The sequence below is a fragment of the Homo sapiens genome, chromosome 20 (genome assembly GCF_000001405.40).
Source record: "Homo sapiens chromosome 20, GRCh38.p14 Primary Assembly".
In the NCBI taxonomy this organism is placed as follows: Eukaryota; Metazoa; Chordata; class Mammalia; order Primates; family Hominidae; genus Homo; species Homo sapiens.
Window position 1 is genome coordinate 33,675,475 of NC_000020.11, and position 18,689 is coordinate 33,694,163.

Consider the following 18,689-nt stretch of genomic DNA (forward strand, 5'->3'; position numbering starts at 1 on the left):
TCTTGGCTTTCTACAACAAAAACCTTTACTGGATCTGCTTTTGAGTTAGGACCAAAACAGCGAGGAAGCTGACCTTTCTTCGAGTTATGAGGCTCAAATCAAATCGGGCACGGACAGGGAGAAGGGAAGTGGAGAATGGGCATTTCCCCAGCAACCTTGGCCTCTCCCGCCCCGAAATGTTCCCAACAGAGTCCCAAAACCCGGCCCAAACGTCATCAAAATATTTATTAAAACCAAAGCAGGAGGGAACAGAGCTGTTAGGAAGCAAATCAAAGTGCAGATTGGAGGGTGGGGCAGAGCAGTGGGGAGGCAGGCGCTTCAGACACTGCAGGAGGGACCACAGGGTCTGGGCTGGGGGAGGCCTTCACCACCCCTCCTGCCCACATCAGTGAAGGTCCCCCACTCACCTCTCCCATCTCATATCCATCCTGGGGGGCAGCTGGGGCCCTGAACTGGCCCCCTGGAGAGGGCCCACCCCACCATCTGACCACCCATGGCTGTCAGTCAGTCTGTCTCCCTCCCTCACTTTCCCAATAAATAAATCACCCAGGCCTCAGTTCCTTCAGTATGGGGCAGAAGAACAGCTCAGGGACCCCTGCCCTTGCTCAAGGGTAGAGGGAGTTGGGGTATCAACCCCACACCCCTCCTCCCCTTTGCTGATTCCCCAGGCTCACCAAAGAGGCCTCGATAAATAAATAACGCTCCATTAAAGCTTCAATCAGAAAAAACCTTTAAGACAGAAGTGCTCTCACCGTCCTACACGCCCAGCCAGCCAAAGCCTCCCCACCTGGCCTGGTCAGAGCACCAGATTCTGGGAGCAGGCACTGCCCTGGGCCTTGTGGGACCCCCAGAGCAAAAGGGCCGAAAGTGCAGTTAGAGCCCCCCCACGCGCACACATGGACTCATGCACACACATGTGGACACACTGGGGCGTGTCTGCAGTGCACACACAGAGGTGTATGTTCACCTTCATTCCCCGGTACATGCACACACACATGCTCACACACATTCACCCCCGGTACACACGTGTGGGTGTAGGCTGCATGCACATACACACCACACAGACTCCTTCCCTTCCTGGCTTGCTCAGCCTCCTAGCGGTAGCCAGACCCCAGAGCTAGAAGCTTCTGGAGACAGAGGAGAGGGGTATAAATTAAATGTTTCCAAACAGGCTGGGAGGACGGCCAGGGACAGGGGGCTCCAGGGCTGCAGAGACAAGGTGAGCATCTCTGGAAACCCTGGTCCCTCCAAGCCCTGTCAGAAATCCAGGGGGGTGAGGTCCCCAAAGTCACAGTCGAAGAGGTCTCTGATGCCCTCGCCCTCCTCGAGGCCGAAGTGGTAGTCGAGGGCCTCGTGGGGTGGGGAAAGGCTGATGAACTCCTCAGGGAGGAGGCCGGAGAAGTCCTCCCGCACATGCTCCAGGAGCGAGTCGGCCGCCACCAGCGGGGACAGGCGGTCCTCGTCCACGGGAGCCCGCAGGCTGCCCATCCGGGACAACAGCGGTTCTGGGGAGACGGGGAGCATCACAGGCCGGGGATGCCCCAGCAGGGAGGAAGGCAGGGGCTGTCGTGCCTGCCCACCCCCCAGAAGAGGGGCCCTGCCCCACCCCACCCACCTACCCATCACCCACCTTGCTCCAGGCTGAGTAGAGACTGGCTGGGATCTGTGGTGAGGGATGAGGGGGGAGATGATGGTGGTGGTGACACTATGGTGGCAGAGTCAGTGGCCCTGTTCTCCTCCTCAGAAGTGACCTCCTGGGATGGGGTCTTCCCAGGGCTGATCCCACCTACGGTCTCCTCAGGGCACAGGAAAACATCGATCGGGCCTTGTTTGCTCTTAAGGGAGATCTGAAAGTTCTGGGTGGAAGCAGCAGGCAGGGTAAACTGAGGCCCAGGTGACCACCAGCCCAGCCCAGCCCAGCCCAGTTGGGCCCGGAGTTCCCAGATCTCACCTCCGAAGAGTCCACGGCTTGGAGCTGGGTCTCAGGAGGGGCTTTGATCACCATAACCATCTGCTCTGCAGGGTCTGCAATGCTACGAAGGTCCTGACACGTCACGTAGGCCAGGGTTGGCAGAGTCAAGGACCACATGACCTTTGACTTCTAGGGGGTCACTCACTCCAACAGCTCACAAGGCAGGGCTCACACCTGCCTAGTCACTCCTGTCCTCCCAACCTCCTACCCACTCAAAACCTACCTCACGCCTGAGTTTCAAGTTCCACATCTGTATAATGAAATCACTCTACCCATTGAATCCCAAGGTAATAATGGCTACCGGGAACGATTCCATGTAAAATGTTCAACACAACTCCAGGCCTGGTGCTGGGAATTTATTTTTTAGAGGCAGGGTCTCGCTATGTCACCCAGGCTGGAGTGATGTGGCTCAACCAGAGCTCACTGCAGCCTCAAACTCCTGGGCTCAAGTGATCCTCCCACCTCAGCCTCTTGAAGCACTAGGATTACAGGCATGAACCACCGCACCTAGCCACTTTTCTTTTTTAATCTGTACAATTTCAGAATTGGATATTATTATTCCCCTTTTATAGATAAAACTGAGGCCAAGAGGTTAAGCAATTTATCCAGTGTCACAACAGTGAGAAAATGCTGAGCCAGGACTTGCAACCAAAATCAGAGCTCTCTCTTAAATCCAAGCCTCTCTAGTCCCACTTGGGTGGAGCCCCTGCCTGCTAAGCCTGCCTTCCACACCCTACGGCCAATCCAAGGATATCGCTGGCTGTCAGTGTCCTCGGAGAGCAGGCGCAGCTGCGTAGTACAGATATTCATCAGGTGGTCCAGCTGCTGCTCGCTCTCCTGCAGCTGTCGGAGGTCCTGGGTCAACCCCTCAAGCCGTCCGCCGACGCCCACTGTGGTGTGGCTGCCCCTGTGGGGAGGCACCAGGGAGGGTAGGGTTAACAGCGATTGGCCCCTCTGGCCAGGAGCCCTGGGCCTCAGGACAGAGTCTGCTGTTGCCTCTGTTCTGTGAGGCCTAGGCAAGCCCTTGCTTCTGTCTGGGTCTGGCTCCTCAGCTGGGCTCCAAATCAGAGTGTCATGGGCTTGAAGTCTGGCCCGAATATAAACACCTACATGTCCCTCAACCAGGGCGGGATAAACAAATGATGGGACTGACATGCCACGAAATATTACACATGCACACACACATGCATTTCCAAGACATGCTGTCAAATGAAAAAAAAAAAAAGGCTGGGCTTGGTGGCTTATACCTATAATCCCAGCACTTTGGGGGGCTGAGGCCAGAGGATTGCTTGAGCCTCAGGAGTTTGAGACCAGCCTGGGCAACACAGTGAGACTCTGCCTCTACACAAAATCAAAGACATTAGCCAGACATGGTGGCATGTACTTGTAGTCCTAGCTACAGGTACGGAGCTTGAGCCCAGGAGGTTGAGGCTGCAGTGAGCTGTATTTGTGCCTCCATACTCCAGCCTGGGCGACAGAGCAACACCCTGTCTCAAACCACCCCCCTCCACCCAAAAAACCACAAAAGATGCAGAATGGAACGATCTACCAAAAAATGAAACGGCAGGTGTATCAAAGAAAGGGTAGTAGCATGATGACTGGCGCGAAGGCGAGAGGGGGAAAATAAAACAAGAATAAAATATCTATGCCAGACAGATCTCACCGAGGGCATGAGAAGCCAGGATAGTGGTGACCTGGCGGTGTGAGGGGTTGGCAATGACTGGAAAGGGGCACAAGAGAACCTTCTAGGGTGTTGAAAATGCTCTTATCTTGATCTGAATGGTGGCAACCCAGATGAATAAATATATAAAGCTGCGCGGGGCGCAGTGGCTCATGCCTGTAATCCCAGCACTTTGGGAGGCTGAGGCAGGCAGATCACCTGAGATCAGGAGTTCGAGACCAGACTGGCCAACATGGTGAAACCCCATTTCTACTACAAATACAAAAAGTAGCTGGGCATGGTGGCAGGCGCCTGTATCCCCAGCTATTCAGGAGGCTGAGGCAGGAGAAGCACCTGAACCTGGGAGGTAGAGGTTACAGTGAGCTGAGATTACACCACTGCACTCCAGCCTGGGTGACAGAGTGAAACTCCATCTAAAAAAGAAAAAAGTAAAGCTGCAACTGAGGTGGATATGTAAGATTTGTGTGCTTTTTACCATCTATCATCTCAGGGAAGCTACCTCTCCTCTCTGAGCCCGTTTCCCCAGCTATAAGATGGGGATGCAGGCAGCCACAGTGGGTATTACTACCAGCTCCTCCAGGCTGGCATGGGCAGGTGTGCCTGCCCTCCTGTGTGGCCGGTACCTACAGCCACTGGATGTGGTTCTTGGACTTCTTGGCAATGAGCTGGATGCCCTCAAGGACGTTGGTGATGTCATAGATGCGCCGCTTCTGCACCTTCAGCACCTCGGCAGCCCAGTTCAGGTCGACGACACCGTCAGCCGAGTGGCTCAGCAGCTCCAGGAAGCGCTTGGTGGTCAGATTCAGTGAGGTCTCATAGCGTGACTTCTCCCCCGGGGATTTCACACCTGTGGGGGTGTGGTCAGGCAAGACAGGGCCCTTCAGCATCCACCCCCACCTCCAGCCAGGCCTGCCACTCTGGCAGTGCAGGGCAGCAGGATGATGGGGGCTGGGGGACAGCCAGCTCCTTCCCCTTGGCGAGGCCAACCACAGCATTCTTCTTCTGGCTGGGGAACTCCTCACCCCTCAGGGCCTGGAGAAACCAAGCCAGGTGGCCACTCCAACTGCCCATCAGGGTCCTCAGAGGCCTGGCTCAAGCCCGACAAGCCAGACGTTAGCTTGCAAGCATGTTTGTCTGTTCACATCCCTAACCTGGGCCTGGTCACAGGGGGTCTGCCCAGCCCAAGCTCCATAGGTACCTTTTCCTGGATGGCGGCCTCTGCCCCGAGCTGGCCCACTGCTCTCGGCCAGGTACTGATGGTCAGTTTCCAGGTCCAGCCTCCGCTTCACCTGTGGCGAAAACGGGAGGATGCCCAGTAACCAGGAGTGAGGCCAGAAGAGACCTGGCTTAAGGCTGGGTGCCTCTGGGCTACCCTCGCCTCAGTTTCTCTAGCAGGATGCCTGAGTGTGTGACTGAGGGAGATCAGAGGGGACATAGCCTGAGAGTCACAGTCCTACCACACAGGACATTCCATTTTCACCACTTCTCTGGGGTCTAGCGGTGGATTTAAAACACATCCGCAAACTTTCTGATCCTTCTCCTTCAAAAGATATAGCCTAATTCTCCCCTTATGAGCCAGACCTGGTAACTTGCTTCTGGGGATGAATGAATGGAATGTGGTGGAAGGGATGGCCTGTCACTTTTGAGACTGGGTCAGAGGCGCTGGAGCTTCCTCCTTGCTCTGTATTGGGTCACTTACTCTGCCATATCATATGGGCACTCAAGTAGCCCTAATGATGGGCAAGAAACCATGGCCTCCTCCCAACAGCAACACTTAGTCACAACTTCTGTTAGCAGCCAGAACCCAAACACTGGCTGAATCTCCAGAGACCCCAAGCCAGAGCTGGATAAGTCTTCCCTGAATTCCTGACCCACAAAAACTATATAATAAATGTTTGTTGTTTTAAGGCACTATTTTTTTTTCTTTTTTAGACAGGGTATCGCTCTGTTGACTATGCTGGAGTGCAGTGGTATGATCACAACTCTCTGCAGCCTAGACTTCCTGGGCTCAAGCAATCCTCCCACCTCAGCCTTCCAAACAGCTGGGACCACAGGCGCATCCCTCCAAGACCAGCTAACTTTTCTATTTCTCGTAGAGATGGGGTCTCCCTATGTTGCCCAGACTGGTCTCAAACTCCTAGGCTCAAGCAATTCTCCCATCTCAGCCTTCACTGTAGTCGTGCTGGGACTAGTCAGCCACCATGCCCAGCTAAGCCACTGATTACATAGGTCCCTTGGCTAAATCACCTTCTCTCTGGTTTTTGACTAATCTATACGCATGGTAGCAGCTGGTGCTCATCAAGTTCCTTGCATCCATTAGTTCATTCCATTCAACGGACTGGCTGTATAAAAATGGCCCCATTTTCCAGATAAGGCAACTAAAGCCCAGGGAGGCCCAGGAAGTGGTAGAGTCAGGATTTGTACCCAAGACGGTCTGAGGAAGAACCCAAGCTCTAAGCACTCTGGCTTAGTTCAGACACTCCAGGATTGGGACTGTCCTGGAGGTCTCACAGGCTGCTCAAAAGTACCCGGACCAAAACCAGACTGATCTTCCCCTCCACCATCCACAGGGTTTCCTGAGCTAGAGTTCCTGACCTGTCACCCTCCTCACATGCAGCTACCAAGAACTGCTCATCACCACGGCGATCACCACCTTCCCAGTGGGCTGCTGAGCAGACTCCACACTGGTCTCCCTGCCTCTGCTGCAGCCAGTCCTCCTACAAACCTTACCATGCCGCCGCCCCTGCTTAAGGCCTTCCTCCAGCTCCCCATTGCCTTTGTACTCTCATCTGCCACTGCTTCTCTAGAGGAACCCGAGTCACGTTTTCCCAGAAATCTAGACTGCCCTTGCATCCCTCCCACCCTCCCCACTTCACGCCTGCTCCCTCTACCTCTGTGGGCAGAAACCTTACGCATCAGCTAGGAGGTGTCACCTCTTCTCCCTCTGAACTGCCTCAAACCCAACCTTTTGCCACATTCTGTCTCTCCCTACACATTTCTGCAGATGTATCTATCTCACCCTCAGAGGTGTCTGAATCACTTGAGAATCTATAGTGTCTGCCATGGAGCCTGGCATCAACAAATGTTTGCTGAATGAACCCCCCCCATGCTGATGAACCACTCCCTCTTGTGCACATTCACTGACTTTTGAAGGCACCCAGGGGAAAGAAGAGCTGTTGTGCTCTAAGCACTGTGTACTCAACTGCTTCCCCTGCAACCCTCCGGCCACCTTTTGGCAGGTGCTATGATGGCCTCCACCTGAGAGAGGCCACACAGTGAGAGGTGGACCCAGGACTTGCACCCTAGTTGGCTGGTACAGAGCCCACACTCATACCCGCCACGTGCCCCACCTCCCCAGAACCCAGCCAGAATGTATCCCCCTCCATACTCGCCCCTGGGGCCCAAACCCTAGCATGCTTCTGCCATCTGCACCCCTTGCCTTCTCCCTGGGATCCCCACCCTTGTCCACCCCTGAAGGCAGGTCAGTGCCACGCCCTAAAACAAAGGCTTGAGTGGATGCCATTTCTGCCACTTCTCCCTAGATAAACACTGGCAGAGGGGCCCCGAAACGCAGGGGTGAAGACATTCACTGCTGAAAAAATCTGGATGACTCGAACACCCATCCATGAAGGGGGTCACGAAAGCTGTGCTTTGTTTAGCCCCTTGAACACCACGCAGCTGTCAAGGACCGAGGCAGGTTGACAAGAATCCCCTCACACATACAGACAAGCAAAACACTGTCACAGGGCGATATATTTATATGATCCCTTTTGGATTAAAAAGCTCATGAAACTTTTCTCTGGTTCAGTTTATATTATTATAGAATACATTTCGGGGCAGCCTCTGGAAGGACTGTGGGAGACCAGTGCCATATCTGAATGGTGTGAATGATACAGGAAAAACTACAATTTTTAAAACTTTAAAAAACAAAAACTGTCACAACCACCACAAACAAAAATAGCCTTAGGGAAAAAAAGGAAAAAAATGAATAGGGCTGGGATCCTGCCGTCAACTTTCTAGTTTCTTAAGAGTTAAGTTTTTGGCCAGGCGCAGTGGCTCACGCCTGTAATCCTGGCACTTTGGGAGGCCGAGGCGGGCAGATCACTTGAGGTCAGGAGTTCAAGACCAGCCTGACCAATATGGTGAAACCTCATCTCTACCAAAAATACAAAAATTAGCCGGGTATGGTGGTGCACGTCTGTAGTCCCAGCTACTCGGGAGGCTGAGGCAGAAGAATCGCTTGAACCCAGGAGGTAGAGGTTGCGGTGAGCCGAGATGGCGCCACTGTACTCCAACCTAGGTGACAGAGCGAGACTTCATCTCAAAAAAAAAAAAAAAAAAAAGAGTTAAGAGTTAAGTTTTCAGCTGGGCATGGTGACTCACACCTGTAATCCCAGCACTTTGAGAGGCTGAGACAGTCAGATTGTCTGAACTCAGGAGTTCAAGACCAGCCTGGGCAACATGGCAAGACCCTCTCTCTACTAAAAATACAAAAATTGGCTGGGCATGGTGGTACACGCCTGTAATCCCAGCTACTCGGGAGGCTGAGGCACAGAATAGCTTGAACTTGGGAGGCAGAGGTTGCAGTGAGCCGCAATCACGCCACTGCACTCCAGCCTGGGTAACAGAATGAGACCCTGTCTCCAAAAAAAAAATAAATAAATAAATAAAAAAGTTAAGTTTTCTACATTAAACATGTATTATAGTTATAATACTTGAGTTTGTGGAAGTGGACAGGCAGGGCCAAGAGGAATGGCTGAATTGCAGAGCCTTGTATACAGAATGCCTGCTGGTATAGAAGCTAAGCCTGTAGCTTATTTCAAGGACTGTGCCAGACAAATGCCAGTGCAGAGAGGCCAAAAGCCAAACCTGTGGACTTTCTGGACTTCAGTTCCAGAATGGTGCCAGCCTCCTGGCCCTTAAGTACACTGGGGGCCAGGGCTCCTTGTCTCTGGGCCTAGTGCCTCCTGGGCATTCACTAACTCAACAACTGTTGAATGAATGGAATGCCCAGGCCAATGAGCCTGCCCCTGACAGGTGGAGTGGAGGGCATTTTTCTTTGCCCCTGTCCCTCCCTTTGATCCTAGAACCCATAATCCTGTTCAGATCTTTGAGGACAAGACCCTCAGGTTGTTAGATTTCCGCAGACCTGAGCCTTCTATAATGCTTGTCACACAGCTGAATGGAAGATGCTTGCCCAGGTCCCAAGTGGTACCCACAGGAACAGGCCCCTGGAGTACAGGAGACAGGCCACCTGGCCCACCCCTGGTACAACCCCCTCCCACCCACTCATTAAGAGGGAGGGCCCCTAAAAGCCCTTCTTGCCCTTTCTTCAACCTGTATCAGCATCCCCAGAAAGCAAGGCATCCCAGAGGTCAACCTCAGAGGAAACGCAGACTGCTCTCCCCACTCAAGAGCAGAATGACATGGGAAGATTCTAACATCTCTAGGCCTCAGCTTCCCAATCTGTAAAAAGGGACTGCTGCTGATGGGGTTAAATGAGTTAATTAAGTAAAGCGCTTGGCACAGAGCCTGGCACACAAGACATCCTCAAAACAATGGTGGCTGCTATTGTTATTATTATTAGCATTGTGGTGATTCCGGAAGGCAGCACTGGGCATGGGGCCAAGGGGGTTGGGGGAGCCTCCTCAGGATGCCTCAGGGACCAGCTGCCACCCACACCCCCATCAGCAGTTAGGCAGCTTCTACCTCCTTGTCCTGAGTCCTGCCTCACCCCTCCCACTTGCTCCAAGTTCCCTGCTGAGACCCCATCCTGCCTGGCCAGACCCCGCCTGCACACCAGAGCCCCACCTTCACCCATAGGCTGCGCCAGTCAAACTGGTCTCCACACCCTGCCCTGTGCCCCACAGTTCCCAGCTCCAGGCTTCTACGCCTCCAATCCCTTCTCCCACTGGAATTCAGCCGCCTCTTCTGGGCCCTCCAGTCTGAATTCGTCTTGAGCTCAGCGATCAGGGAGGGCTTTATTAAAGGATCTCCCTGAGACATTTTCTCTCCTGGCACTGGGGGCCTCCTCTCCAGCTCCCAGAGGCCCAGCCCACCTAGTCCTTCTACAGAGACTCAGGGGTCGGCCTGCCTGATTAATGAGGTTCCATGGCAACCAGGGCCTGGGAGGGTGGAGGGTGGCAGATGGAAGGACAGGCAGAGGGAGGGGATCAGCAGCTGGTCCAGCTGCCCCGCCCCTGCAGAGAAGGCCTCCCAGCCAGGAGGGCTGTCCCCAGAGGCCTGGCCGGCCAGGCCTGCACCTGGCAGTCAGCATCGAGGCAGGAAGGAGGGTCTCCTCAATGGCTCACCAACGGTTAGGCCCCAGGACTTTCCTCCGCCCCGCCTTCACTTCCCCTAGCAGCTGTGCTCACTACCGAGATGCAAATTCTGAGCTGAAGCCAGCAGGCCTCAGTTCAAATCCCAGCCCCACCACCTGCAGCCGTGTGACCAGGGGCAAGTCACTTTCCCTCTCTGGGCCTCAGTTCCTCCTCCGTCAGATGGGCACAGTGACAACACAGCTCACAGCGGGGTTGTGAGTTTTAGCTGGCTTGAAGTCGCCCAAAGGCCTGGCATGCAGTAAACGCCAGTTGAATACACGTGGGCTATTATTATCACTGAGTCCGACGCTGGGGAGGCTCCGGTGAGGAAGCTGAGGCGCAGAGCACAGAGCAGCAAACAGGGACCGGCCCGAGGTCACCCCGCACCCCAGGGCGGGGCCCGGAGGCCCAACCCCGGCTCTGCACCGCCCAGCCTGGGCGCCTCAGTCAACCCCTCCCCCGCCCCCTGCCGCCTCCAGGCCAAACACGGCGCCCTCCCGGGTCTGCGCGGGGGGCACAGGCGGCGCTGTCGGCGCGGCGTCCCTGGGGTCCGTACCGGCGGGCGGCCGAGCGCGGGCCGCGGCGCACTGGGTGTGGGCCGGGGCGCCTGCGGTGTGGCGAAGAGCAGCAGGTCAGGGTCGCAGGGGCCGGCGGCGGGCGCCGCGGGGCCGGTGGGAGCCGGCGGGGCGCTGGCGTCCTGCGCGGCGGAGATGATGACGATCTGCGAGGAGTCGAGCAGCCGCAGCGCGCCGGCCCCGAGCAGGGCCTCCAGCGCCGGCGCGCATGGGCCGCCCGCAGGGGCCCCGGCCAAGGCCATGACGCTCACGGCCCGCGCGGCCCGGGTGACAGGCGGCGGCGGCGGCGCGGGCCCATGGCGGCAGGCCTCGGCGAGGGCTCGATCCCGCTCCGCCCCCGGCCGCCGCTGCCTGCAAAGTCCCGGCCACTTTTACGCGCCAAATCCTTTTTGCCGCGAAAGAGCCACGAGCCGCCGAGCGCCGCCACAATTGGCTGCCCCGGCCGTGACGGGAACAACGGCGGCGGTTCCTATTGGCTTTAACGCGCCGGACCCGGCGGCGAGGGGCGGGATGGGGCGGCGGCGCGGGGCGGTACGGCCAATGGCGGGGCGGGGCGCGCGCAGGCTTTGTCCGGATGGTACCAGGCGCGGTGTGACTCCCCGCCCCCAGCCCGGGCGTCCCCTGCTGGAGGCGTGGGGACACCGGAACATAGGCCCCGCCCCGCCCCGACGCTCCCGCATCCCACTGACCTTTCTATAGTGCAGGTTCAGAACAGAGCCTCTCTTCTGCACGTGACCCTCAACCTGTAGCCCCCAACAGCCTCAGCTTAGATTTCCAGAGACTGTCCCCTCTTCTTTTCAGGATCATCAGTTCCACAGCCCAGCCATCAGCCACCTCTTCCATCCTCAACTTGCCTCACCCATGACATTATCCTAATCCTGCACCCAGCCCTATCCCGCTCACCCAGAGCCCAAGCTGAAGAGCGGTGCCTGGAAATGGCGAGGGGGACGTCGGGCTTTCCTGCAAGTCCCATTTTAGCCAAAATCTCCAACAGCCAACGTATAGCATCTGCTTGAACTCATTCATTCCCTCACTCATTCAACAAACGTTTGGAGAGCTTGCTCTGTGCCCCATCCTCAATTCGTGGCCCTAAGGAGCTCACAGTCCAGTAGACAGGGGAACAGAAAGGTAACAGACGTTTACAATACGATGAAGTGGCGTCTGGGCGCGGTGGCTCACCACCGGAATCCCTGTAATCAGCTGGCGGGGTGGATCGCATGAGCCCAGGAGTTCGAGACCAGCCTGATCAACATGGTGAAGACCCATCTCTACAAAAAATACAAAAATTAGCCAGGCATGGTGGCGTGTGCCCGTAGTCCCAGCTACTTGGGAGGCTGAGGTGGGAGGATTGCTTGAGCCCGAGAAGTCGAGGCTGCAGTGAGCTATGATCATGCCACTGCACACCAGCCTGGGCGACAGAGCGAGATCCTGTCTCTAAAACAAAAAAAGAAAACACATCACTTCTAGGGAGCCCTCCCAAGGATTTACTCACTTCCTCTATTGCCCACTGCTGCCTCTGCTCCAATGCTGACCACACACACTCCTTTTCTCCATCTGCCTCCCCTGCCAATCTAGGAGCTCAGTAGCGACTCCTCCCAACACTGGTCTGGCCCAGAGCAGGCGCTGAGAAAGGTTATGAAAGAAACAGAGGCTAAGCCAGAGGCTGCCTAGACTGTGACAAGGAGACCACGGTTCTGCAAGGGTGGTCCTTAGGCCACTGGCTTCAGAACCACGTGGTCACTTGCTAATTTTGGGCCCACCCTGGCCCTGCCAATTTAAAATCTCTAGGTGCCCAAGAATCTGCATTTTAACAATGCCATGTCCCCTTTCCAGGTGATATTTGTTATTCTTTTTCTTTTTTTTTTTTTGACACTTAGGGAATTAGAAAAGCCAGTATCTTATTTTTTTTTTCCTATTTATTTTATATAGACGAGGTCTCACTATGTTGCCCAGGGTAGTCTCAAACCCCTGGGCTCAAGAGATCCTCCCGCCTCAGCCTCCAGCATAGCTGGTACTCCAGGTGACTGCCACCTCACCAAGCTTCCAGGTTATTTTTATGCATACTCACATTTGAAAGCAAACTGGTGTACCAGCATAATCAAAATGAGTGGTGCAGCCTCAAATCACAGCTCCTGAGGATGCTTCTCACCCTTAGTTTCAAATGGGCACACAGACCTTGCCCTGGCCCCTTCCAGGGTTGCCAGGAGAATGAAAAGCATAAGGAATTGGAAAGTGTTTTACAAACTATGAGGTGGTTTAGGAAATCAGGAGTTGTTTTCCCCTCCAATGAGTAGTTTCTGAAATTACTCATTGCAAATCCTAGAATGTATCATAGCTAGAAGGGACCACAGAGACCACATAAGCCTCTTGCTGTATGGATAGGAAAACTGAGGCCCTTTCAGGAGAAAGTAACTGTGAAGCCAACCAGTGACCAAATTGGGCCTACACTGCATTCCCAGCCCTGAGGTCTGCCTGTCCCCCTTCCCCATCCCCTCTCCATAAAGAAGCTGAGGGGTAGGTCCCATTCTAAACAACCAACGCAGGTGCTGGCAGAGAGCAAGAGAAACCAGCACATTCCCATTCCAGATGGAAAGAGTGTCCTTTCCCTGCACCTTCCCACAGGGTCCCAGTAACACTAACATTCATTTGTGTGAAGCCCTCTCAAACCCAAGTCATTCAACAAACACTTATTAAGCACCTATTATATACCAAGCACTGTGCTGGTTTAACTGTGGTGGCTGGCAAAGAGAGATGTCTATTATTATTGCTCCATTTTATGATGAGGAAATTTGAGGCCAAAAGGGCCTGAGTTTACCAAGTAGATGAAAAGGTTATTTTTCAGGCTTGGTGAGGCTGAGGTTGGGGGTTTTCCAAAGTCCTGCCCGCCCCAGAGTATTCAAGTACACATCCAGGTAGAAGTAGGCGCCCTCCGTCCCACAATCCTTCAGGTCCTGCTGAAGCAGAAAGGAGTGAAGACCAGCATTCCTAGCATGAAACTGAGGAAGAGATAAGGGCCTTCTGTACCTATTAATACCTACTTGAAAGCAGAAAAGCCTGATAGATGAGGCCCCTTGGCCCTAAGCCTGGCAGCTCCTGATAAGGCTGTTCTCAATGTCAACAGTTTTCAAAAAACAGTTTCCAAAAAATCCACAGTCACTGGGCAGCCACTTCCATTGATGATCTCCTTTCAACCCCATAATCCCGTAAGTAAGCTTGTTTATCCACATGGTGCAGGAAGGAAGAGGCTCAGAGAGGGGCATTCATAGCTCAAGGTCACACAGCAGAACTGAGATGAGAACTTCACTTGTCCCACTGCAAAACCCAGGACCTGCCCTTGCCACCCTCTGTAAATACCCCAAAAGCCAGGCTCAGGGCTGTCAAGATTATAAAGTGTAGTTTCTAAAGGGTATTATGGTGGATAGTGGCTTGGTTCATAGGTGCTTATTTCCATCACCACCTTCACCAACCAAACTAGAGGAGTTCGAGGGGATGCAATCTGTTGGGCCCACAATCCTGTGCCTGGAGACCTCTTTCCCTTGGTTCTTTCCAAGAAGCAGAGTGGTGTAGAGGTGATAGCATGGGCTTCTAAATCAGGTGGGTGTAATCAGAAATCTTGGTCAACATGACCTTGGACAAGTCAATTCACTTCATTCAATCCACAGATATTTACTGAGCACCTATTATGTGTCAGACATTGTGCTAGGTGCTGGGGACACAGTTATAAGTAAAACAGACCCCTGGAACTCACAGTCCAGTGGGAAAGTTAGGAATTATTTCTCTGTCACTGCACAGTATGCTTGTTAAGAAGTTTGACAAGTGACACAAATAATTTAAACCTATTTATTCCACAAACAGCACCTCCCCTAAGCATACATTCTTAGCTTACAAAAAAACAAAAATTCACCAAACATGAATATCCAGTCATGATAAGGAATGCATAATTGGGAGAAAAGATTCTGTGATGACTTAATTTTATGAAGGGCACAGAGATGTCCATTGTTGAGTTGTGGCAGAGGGAGGTGGGGAGTTTTGCATCTGCAACAATCCCTCAATGCTACCCTGACTGACAGTTTACTGTCCCTGGAGATATTCTGTCACTGTGCCAGTTCTGGCTATATCTGAACAGACCTCTTGCCCATCCAAAAGGCAGTCTAACATAGAAACAAGCCTTTGGAGTCGGGTGGCCCCCAACCCTGTGGCTTCCCGCCTCTGTGATCTTGGGGAAGTGATTCACCCTCTTGAAGAGCTTTGCTTGCCTCATCTGCAGAACAACAGATAACAGCTTCTTTACACGATGCGTGTCAAAGTTTAAGAAAACAAAACAAGCAGAGTTTGCAAACTGGCCCCCAGATATAACTCAATTTGCCCATAGAAGATTTTTCTTGAATTATGAATTTGTTTTAAGATTTGAGGAAATTGGAAAATACCATATAAAAATTAACATGTCTGGCTTTTCTTTCTCTTTTCTTTTTTTTTTTTGAGACGGAGTTTCACTATTGTTGCCCAGGCTGGAGTGCAGTGGTGTGATCTCGGCTCACCACAACCTCCGCCTCCCGGGTTCAAGTGATTCTCCTGCCTCAGCCTCCCCAGTAGCTGGGATTACAGGCGCCTGCCACCAAGCCCGGCTAATTTTGTATCTTTAGTAAAGACGGGGTTTCTCCATGTTGGTCAGGCTGTTCTCGAACTCCTGACCTCAGGTGATCCGCCCGCCTCGGGTTCCCAAAGTGCTGGGATTATAAGCGTAAGCCACCGTGCCTGGCCTCTTTTTTTTTTTCTTTTGAAATGGGAGTCTCCCTGTCACCCAGGCTGAAGTGCCGTGGCGTGATCTCAGCTCACTGCAACCTCCGTCTCCCAGGTTCTGGCAATTCTCCTGCTTCAGCCTCCCAAGTAGCTGGGATTACAGGTGTGTGCCACCATACCAGGCTAATTTTTGTATTTTTAGTAGAGACGGGGTTTCACCATGTTGGCCAGGCTGGTCTGGAACTCCTGACCTCAGATGATCCACCCGCCTCGGCCTCCCAAAGTGCTGGGATTACAGGCGTGAGCCACCACGCTTGGCCTCTGGCTTTCTTTTCAAACAGCAGTATCTGGCTATACTGGCCAGGCCATCACGGTGCTAAACAGTTGTTGTCCCCCAGCTAGCGAGGGCCTTACCCTCCAGGCCACCAGAGTCCTTCCCTGGCATGCCTCACTCAGTTCTTGCCCTGCCATTCCAGGGATGAACAGCCACCCCTCATGTACAGTGCCTGGCACAGAGTGAGCACCCAAAAAATGTGAGCTGCTGTTAGTCTTATTACCGCCAAGGAACTGACTGGTACCAGCACAGCTTCTCTGCCTTGCAAGTAACCAAAGATAACATATGGACAGGCCGGGTGTCGTGGCCCATGCCTGTAATTCCAGCACTTTGGGAGGCCGAGGCAGGTGGATCATCTGAGGTCAGGAGTTCGAGACCAGCCTGGCCAACATGGTGAAACCCCGTCTCTACTAAAAATACAAAAATTAGCTGGGCGTGGTGGTGGGCACCTGTAATCCCAGCTACACAGGTGGCTGAGGCAGGAGAATTGCTGGAACCTGGGAGGCAGAGGTTGCAGTGAGCCAAGACTACACCATTGCATTCCAGTCTGGGCAACAAGAGTGAAACTCCATCTAAAAACAAACAAACAAACAACAACAACAACAAAAACATGGACATAGAAGAGAGGGAAAAGTGGATATTCGTGGCTGGGTGCGGTGGCTCACGCCTGTAATTCCAGCACTTTGGGAAGCCGAGGTGGGTGGATCACCTGAGGTCAGGAGTTCGAGAGCAGCCTGACCAACATGGTGAAACCCCATCTCTATTAAAAATACAAAAATTAGCTGGGTGTGGTGGCAGGCGACTGTAATCCCAGCAACTTGGGAGGCTGAGGCAGGAGAATCACTTGAACCGGGGAGGTGGAGGTTGTAGTGAGCCAAGATCAAGCCATTGCACTCCAGCCTGGGTGACAGAGTGAGACTCCATCTCAAAAAAAAAAAAAAAAAGGCAGATATTTGTAATCAAACAGCAGACAGGGGGTTTGGTGCCAGCCAGCAGCCTGGCTGTGTGGCCTTGGCCAAGTCCTTCACCATCAGTTGGCCCATATGTTCCGTGGGTTCAGGCCAGAGGGTCTGAGGTCCAAGGTAACTGCATAGGTCTCAGTCGATTCTCAAGTCTCCCCCCAGCCCTGGTCACTCTCTGAGTGCACGCTCTGGGGACCTCCCTTCTCTCCAAGCCTCACCCATGGCAACTTCCTTTCTCTGCGTCACCCAAGCCTCTCAGGAGGGGTCATGCTTTTCCAAGGAGTGGGGCGAAACCGGACATATGACTATGCCTCCTCTGACCAGGGCCACAGCGAAGGTGGGAGTAGGAGGCCTTTACAGTTGAGGGGCTCAGTTTTTTCATCTGTAAAATAGTGATGATAATAATCATAGTGTTTACCTGATGGAGTTGTTAGGACATTGAGTTATTAACATGCCTGGCACATAGGGAGAGCTCAATGAATGTCAGCTGTTGTGAAGAGTGCAGAATGACTCCCTGAAGTGGCTTGCCTACACTCCCCTCTCAATTTTTCCTCTGAAGAAATGCTTCTTGCTGGGCGCAATGGCTCACGCCTGTAATCCCAGCACTTTGGGAGGCCAAGGCGGGTGGATCACCTGAGGTCAGGAGTTCGAGACTAGCCTGGCCAACATGGCGAAACCCCATCTCTACTAAAAGTACAAAAATTAGCCGGGCGTGGTGGCAGACGCCTGTAATCCCAGCTACTCAGGAGGCTGAGGCAGGAGAATCGCTTGAGCCTGGGAGGAGGAGGTTGCAGTGAGCCAAGATCACGCCAATTGCACTCCAGTCTGGGCGACAGAGCAAAATTCTGTCTCATAAAAAAACAAAACAATAAAAAAATTAGCTGGTTGTGGTGGCACACACCTGTAATCCCAGCTACTTGGGAGGCTGAAGCAGGAGAGTTGCTTGAACCCAGCAAGTGGAGATGGCAGTGAGCTGAGATCGCGCCACTGCACTCCAGCCTAGGTGACAGAATGAGACTCTGTCTCAAAAAAAAAAAAAAAAACAGAAAAAAACGAAAAACTTGTTAGGCTGCAGAATAGCAGAATTTTCATGAAGCAATTCCTGCACTGCCTCCCACATTCTATTAGCCACAAGGAGGAAAAAAAAAAAACTATGTTTGGAGGGCAACGAAGCGTGTAAAATGAAATAATACCATATTCCATTGATTCTGACACCTTTTCTTTCATATTTTAACCTCTCTGAAATTGAGGTGCATCCTAGGATCAGTGGAATATCCATTTGTAGTCAGTAACTATTTTTCTTAGGGGCTCAAAACGGCATATCTCATATTGGATGGCATCTTAGAAGTGACAAGCTGTGGTGTACAAAAAGTGCCAGGCTCAGGGCCCGCCACGTCACAGGCCCTCAGGTTGTCCTCATGACCTTCAGCATCCCCAGCACATTCGAGGCTGGTCATGGTGGAGTGATCAGCTTTTCTTTCTTTTTGTCATTTTCTCACTGACACCTGCTGACCTGCATTTGGTCCCCGGCTTGACAGGCACATGGCAAATGCAGTCAGGGAGGCATATGGGGAGGGCTCAGGATGGGAAGAGAAAGACTTTTTATAATATATTAAGATATTCAAAGAGGAGGAGCCAGAGATTCTTTTTTTAAAAAACAAACAAACAAACAAAAAAATCCCCGCTGGAAGCCAGAGTTATATATATGCCACACAGGCCAGGAAACCCAGCAGGCCTCCTGGAGCTGGCAGCAAACCGAAACAGGGGTATTGTGTCCAGGCCACTGGCTGGCTGAGGGACATTGTTAGGGCCTTGCCCTGTCTGGGAAAAGGGGGGTGGCGGGGCAGGGGGAGTGTGTTCCCATGACTCCCTGGGGAGTAACAACAATTGGGCCAGCTGGGAAGCCGGGGATGCCAGGGGCCCAGTGGGCAGGAGGTAGGCCCCCGAGGGGCCATGGAGGGCACTGCGGAGGCTGAGGAGGTGGGGTGCGGGGGAAGGAAGGTCAGGGTCTGTTTCTTAGCTGGGAGGCAAGGCCTAGGAGGGGAAACATGGGCGTCCTTCACTACACCCCTCCCTCACCCCCTCCAAAGCCCTGGGCCACTGTG

The 18,689-nt window shown here is 53.3% G+C and overlaps 1 protein-coding gene across 2 annotated transcripts, besides 6 other annotated features; it reads right to left on the reverse strand.

Annotated features, from left to right (window-relative positions):
- E2F1 (E2F transcription factor 1) lies at window positions 3–10,911 on the reverse strand. 2 transcript variants are annotated; one of them, NM_005225.3, is made up of 7 exons: window positions 10,530–10,911; window positions 4,852–4,942; window positions 4,281–4,500; window positions 2,727–2,879; window positions 1,952–2,066; window positions 1,631–1,856; window positions 3–1,505 (listed from the first exon to the last, which is right to left on the reverse strand). In NM_005225.3, the coding sequence occupies exons 1-7, from the start codon at window positions 10,788–10,790 to the stop codon at window positions 1,258–1,260; spliced, it is 1,314 nt and encodes a 437-aa protein (NP_005216.1). In that variant the 5' UTR covers window positions 10,791–10,911; the 3' UTR covers window positions 3–1,257. The 2 variants fall into 2 exon arrangements, with proteins under 2 accessions (NP_005216.1, XP_047295917.1); XM_047439961.1 differs by lacking the exons at window positions 3–1,505; window positions 1,631–1,856 and having other exon boundaries at window positions 1,953–2,067.
- Window positions 4,041–4,660: an enhancer, noted in NCBI's record as "H3K27ac-H3K4me1 hESC enhancer chr20:32267321-32267940 (GRCh37/hg19 assembly coordinates)". NCBI's record gives its function as "activates a minimal SCP1, AML or CMV promoter by ChIP-STARR-seq in primed H9 embryonic stem cells {active_cell/tissue: H9 hESC(primed)}" and the evidence as "EXISTENCE:reporter gene assay evidence [ECO:0000049][PMID:30033119]".
- Window positions 4,041–4,729: a biological region, named in NCBI's record as "H3K27ac-H3K4me1 hESC enhancer GRCh37_chr20:32267321-32267940".
- Window positions 4,350–4,729: an enhancer, noted in NCBI's record as "active region_17740". NCBI's record gives its function as "activates an Ori minimal core promoter by ATAC-STARR-seq in GM12878 lymphoblastoid cells {active_cell/tissue: GM12878}" and the evidence as "EXISTENCE:reporter gene assay evidence [ECO:0000049][PMID:35858748]".
- Window positions 4,661–5,279: an enhancer, noted in NCBI's record as "H3K27ac-H3K4me1 hESC enhancer chr20:32267941-32268559 (GRCh37/hg19 assembly coordinates)". NCBI's record gives its function as "activates a minimal SCP1, AML or CMV promoter by ChIP-STARR-seq in primed H9 embryonic stem cells {active_cell/tissue: H9 hESC(primed)}" and the evidence as "EXISTENCE:reporter gene assay evidence [ECO:0000049][PMID:30033119]".
- Window positions 10,281–10,640: a silencer, noted in NCBI's record as "silent region_12819". NCBI's record gives its function as "represses an Ori minimal core promoter by ATAC-STARR-seq in GM12878 lymphoblastoid cells {active_cell/tissue: GM12878}" and the evidence as "EXISTENCE:reporter gene assay evidence [ECO:0000049][PMID:35858748]".
- Window positions 10,751–11,250: a silencer, noted in NCBI's record as "silent region_12820". NCBI's record gives its function as "represses an Ori minimal core promoter by ATAC-STARR-seq in GM12878 lymphoblastoid cells {active_cell/tissue: GM12878}" and the evidence as "EXISTENCE:reporter gene assay evidence [ECO:0000049][PMID:35858748]".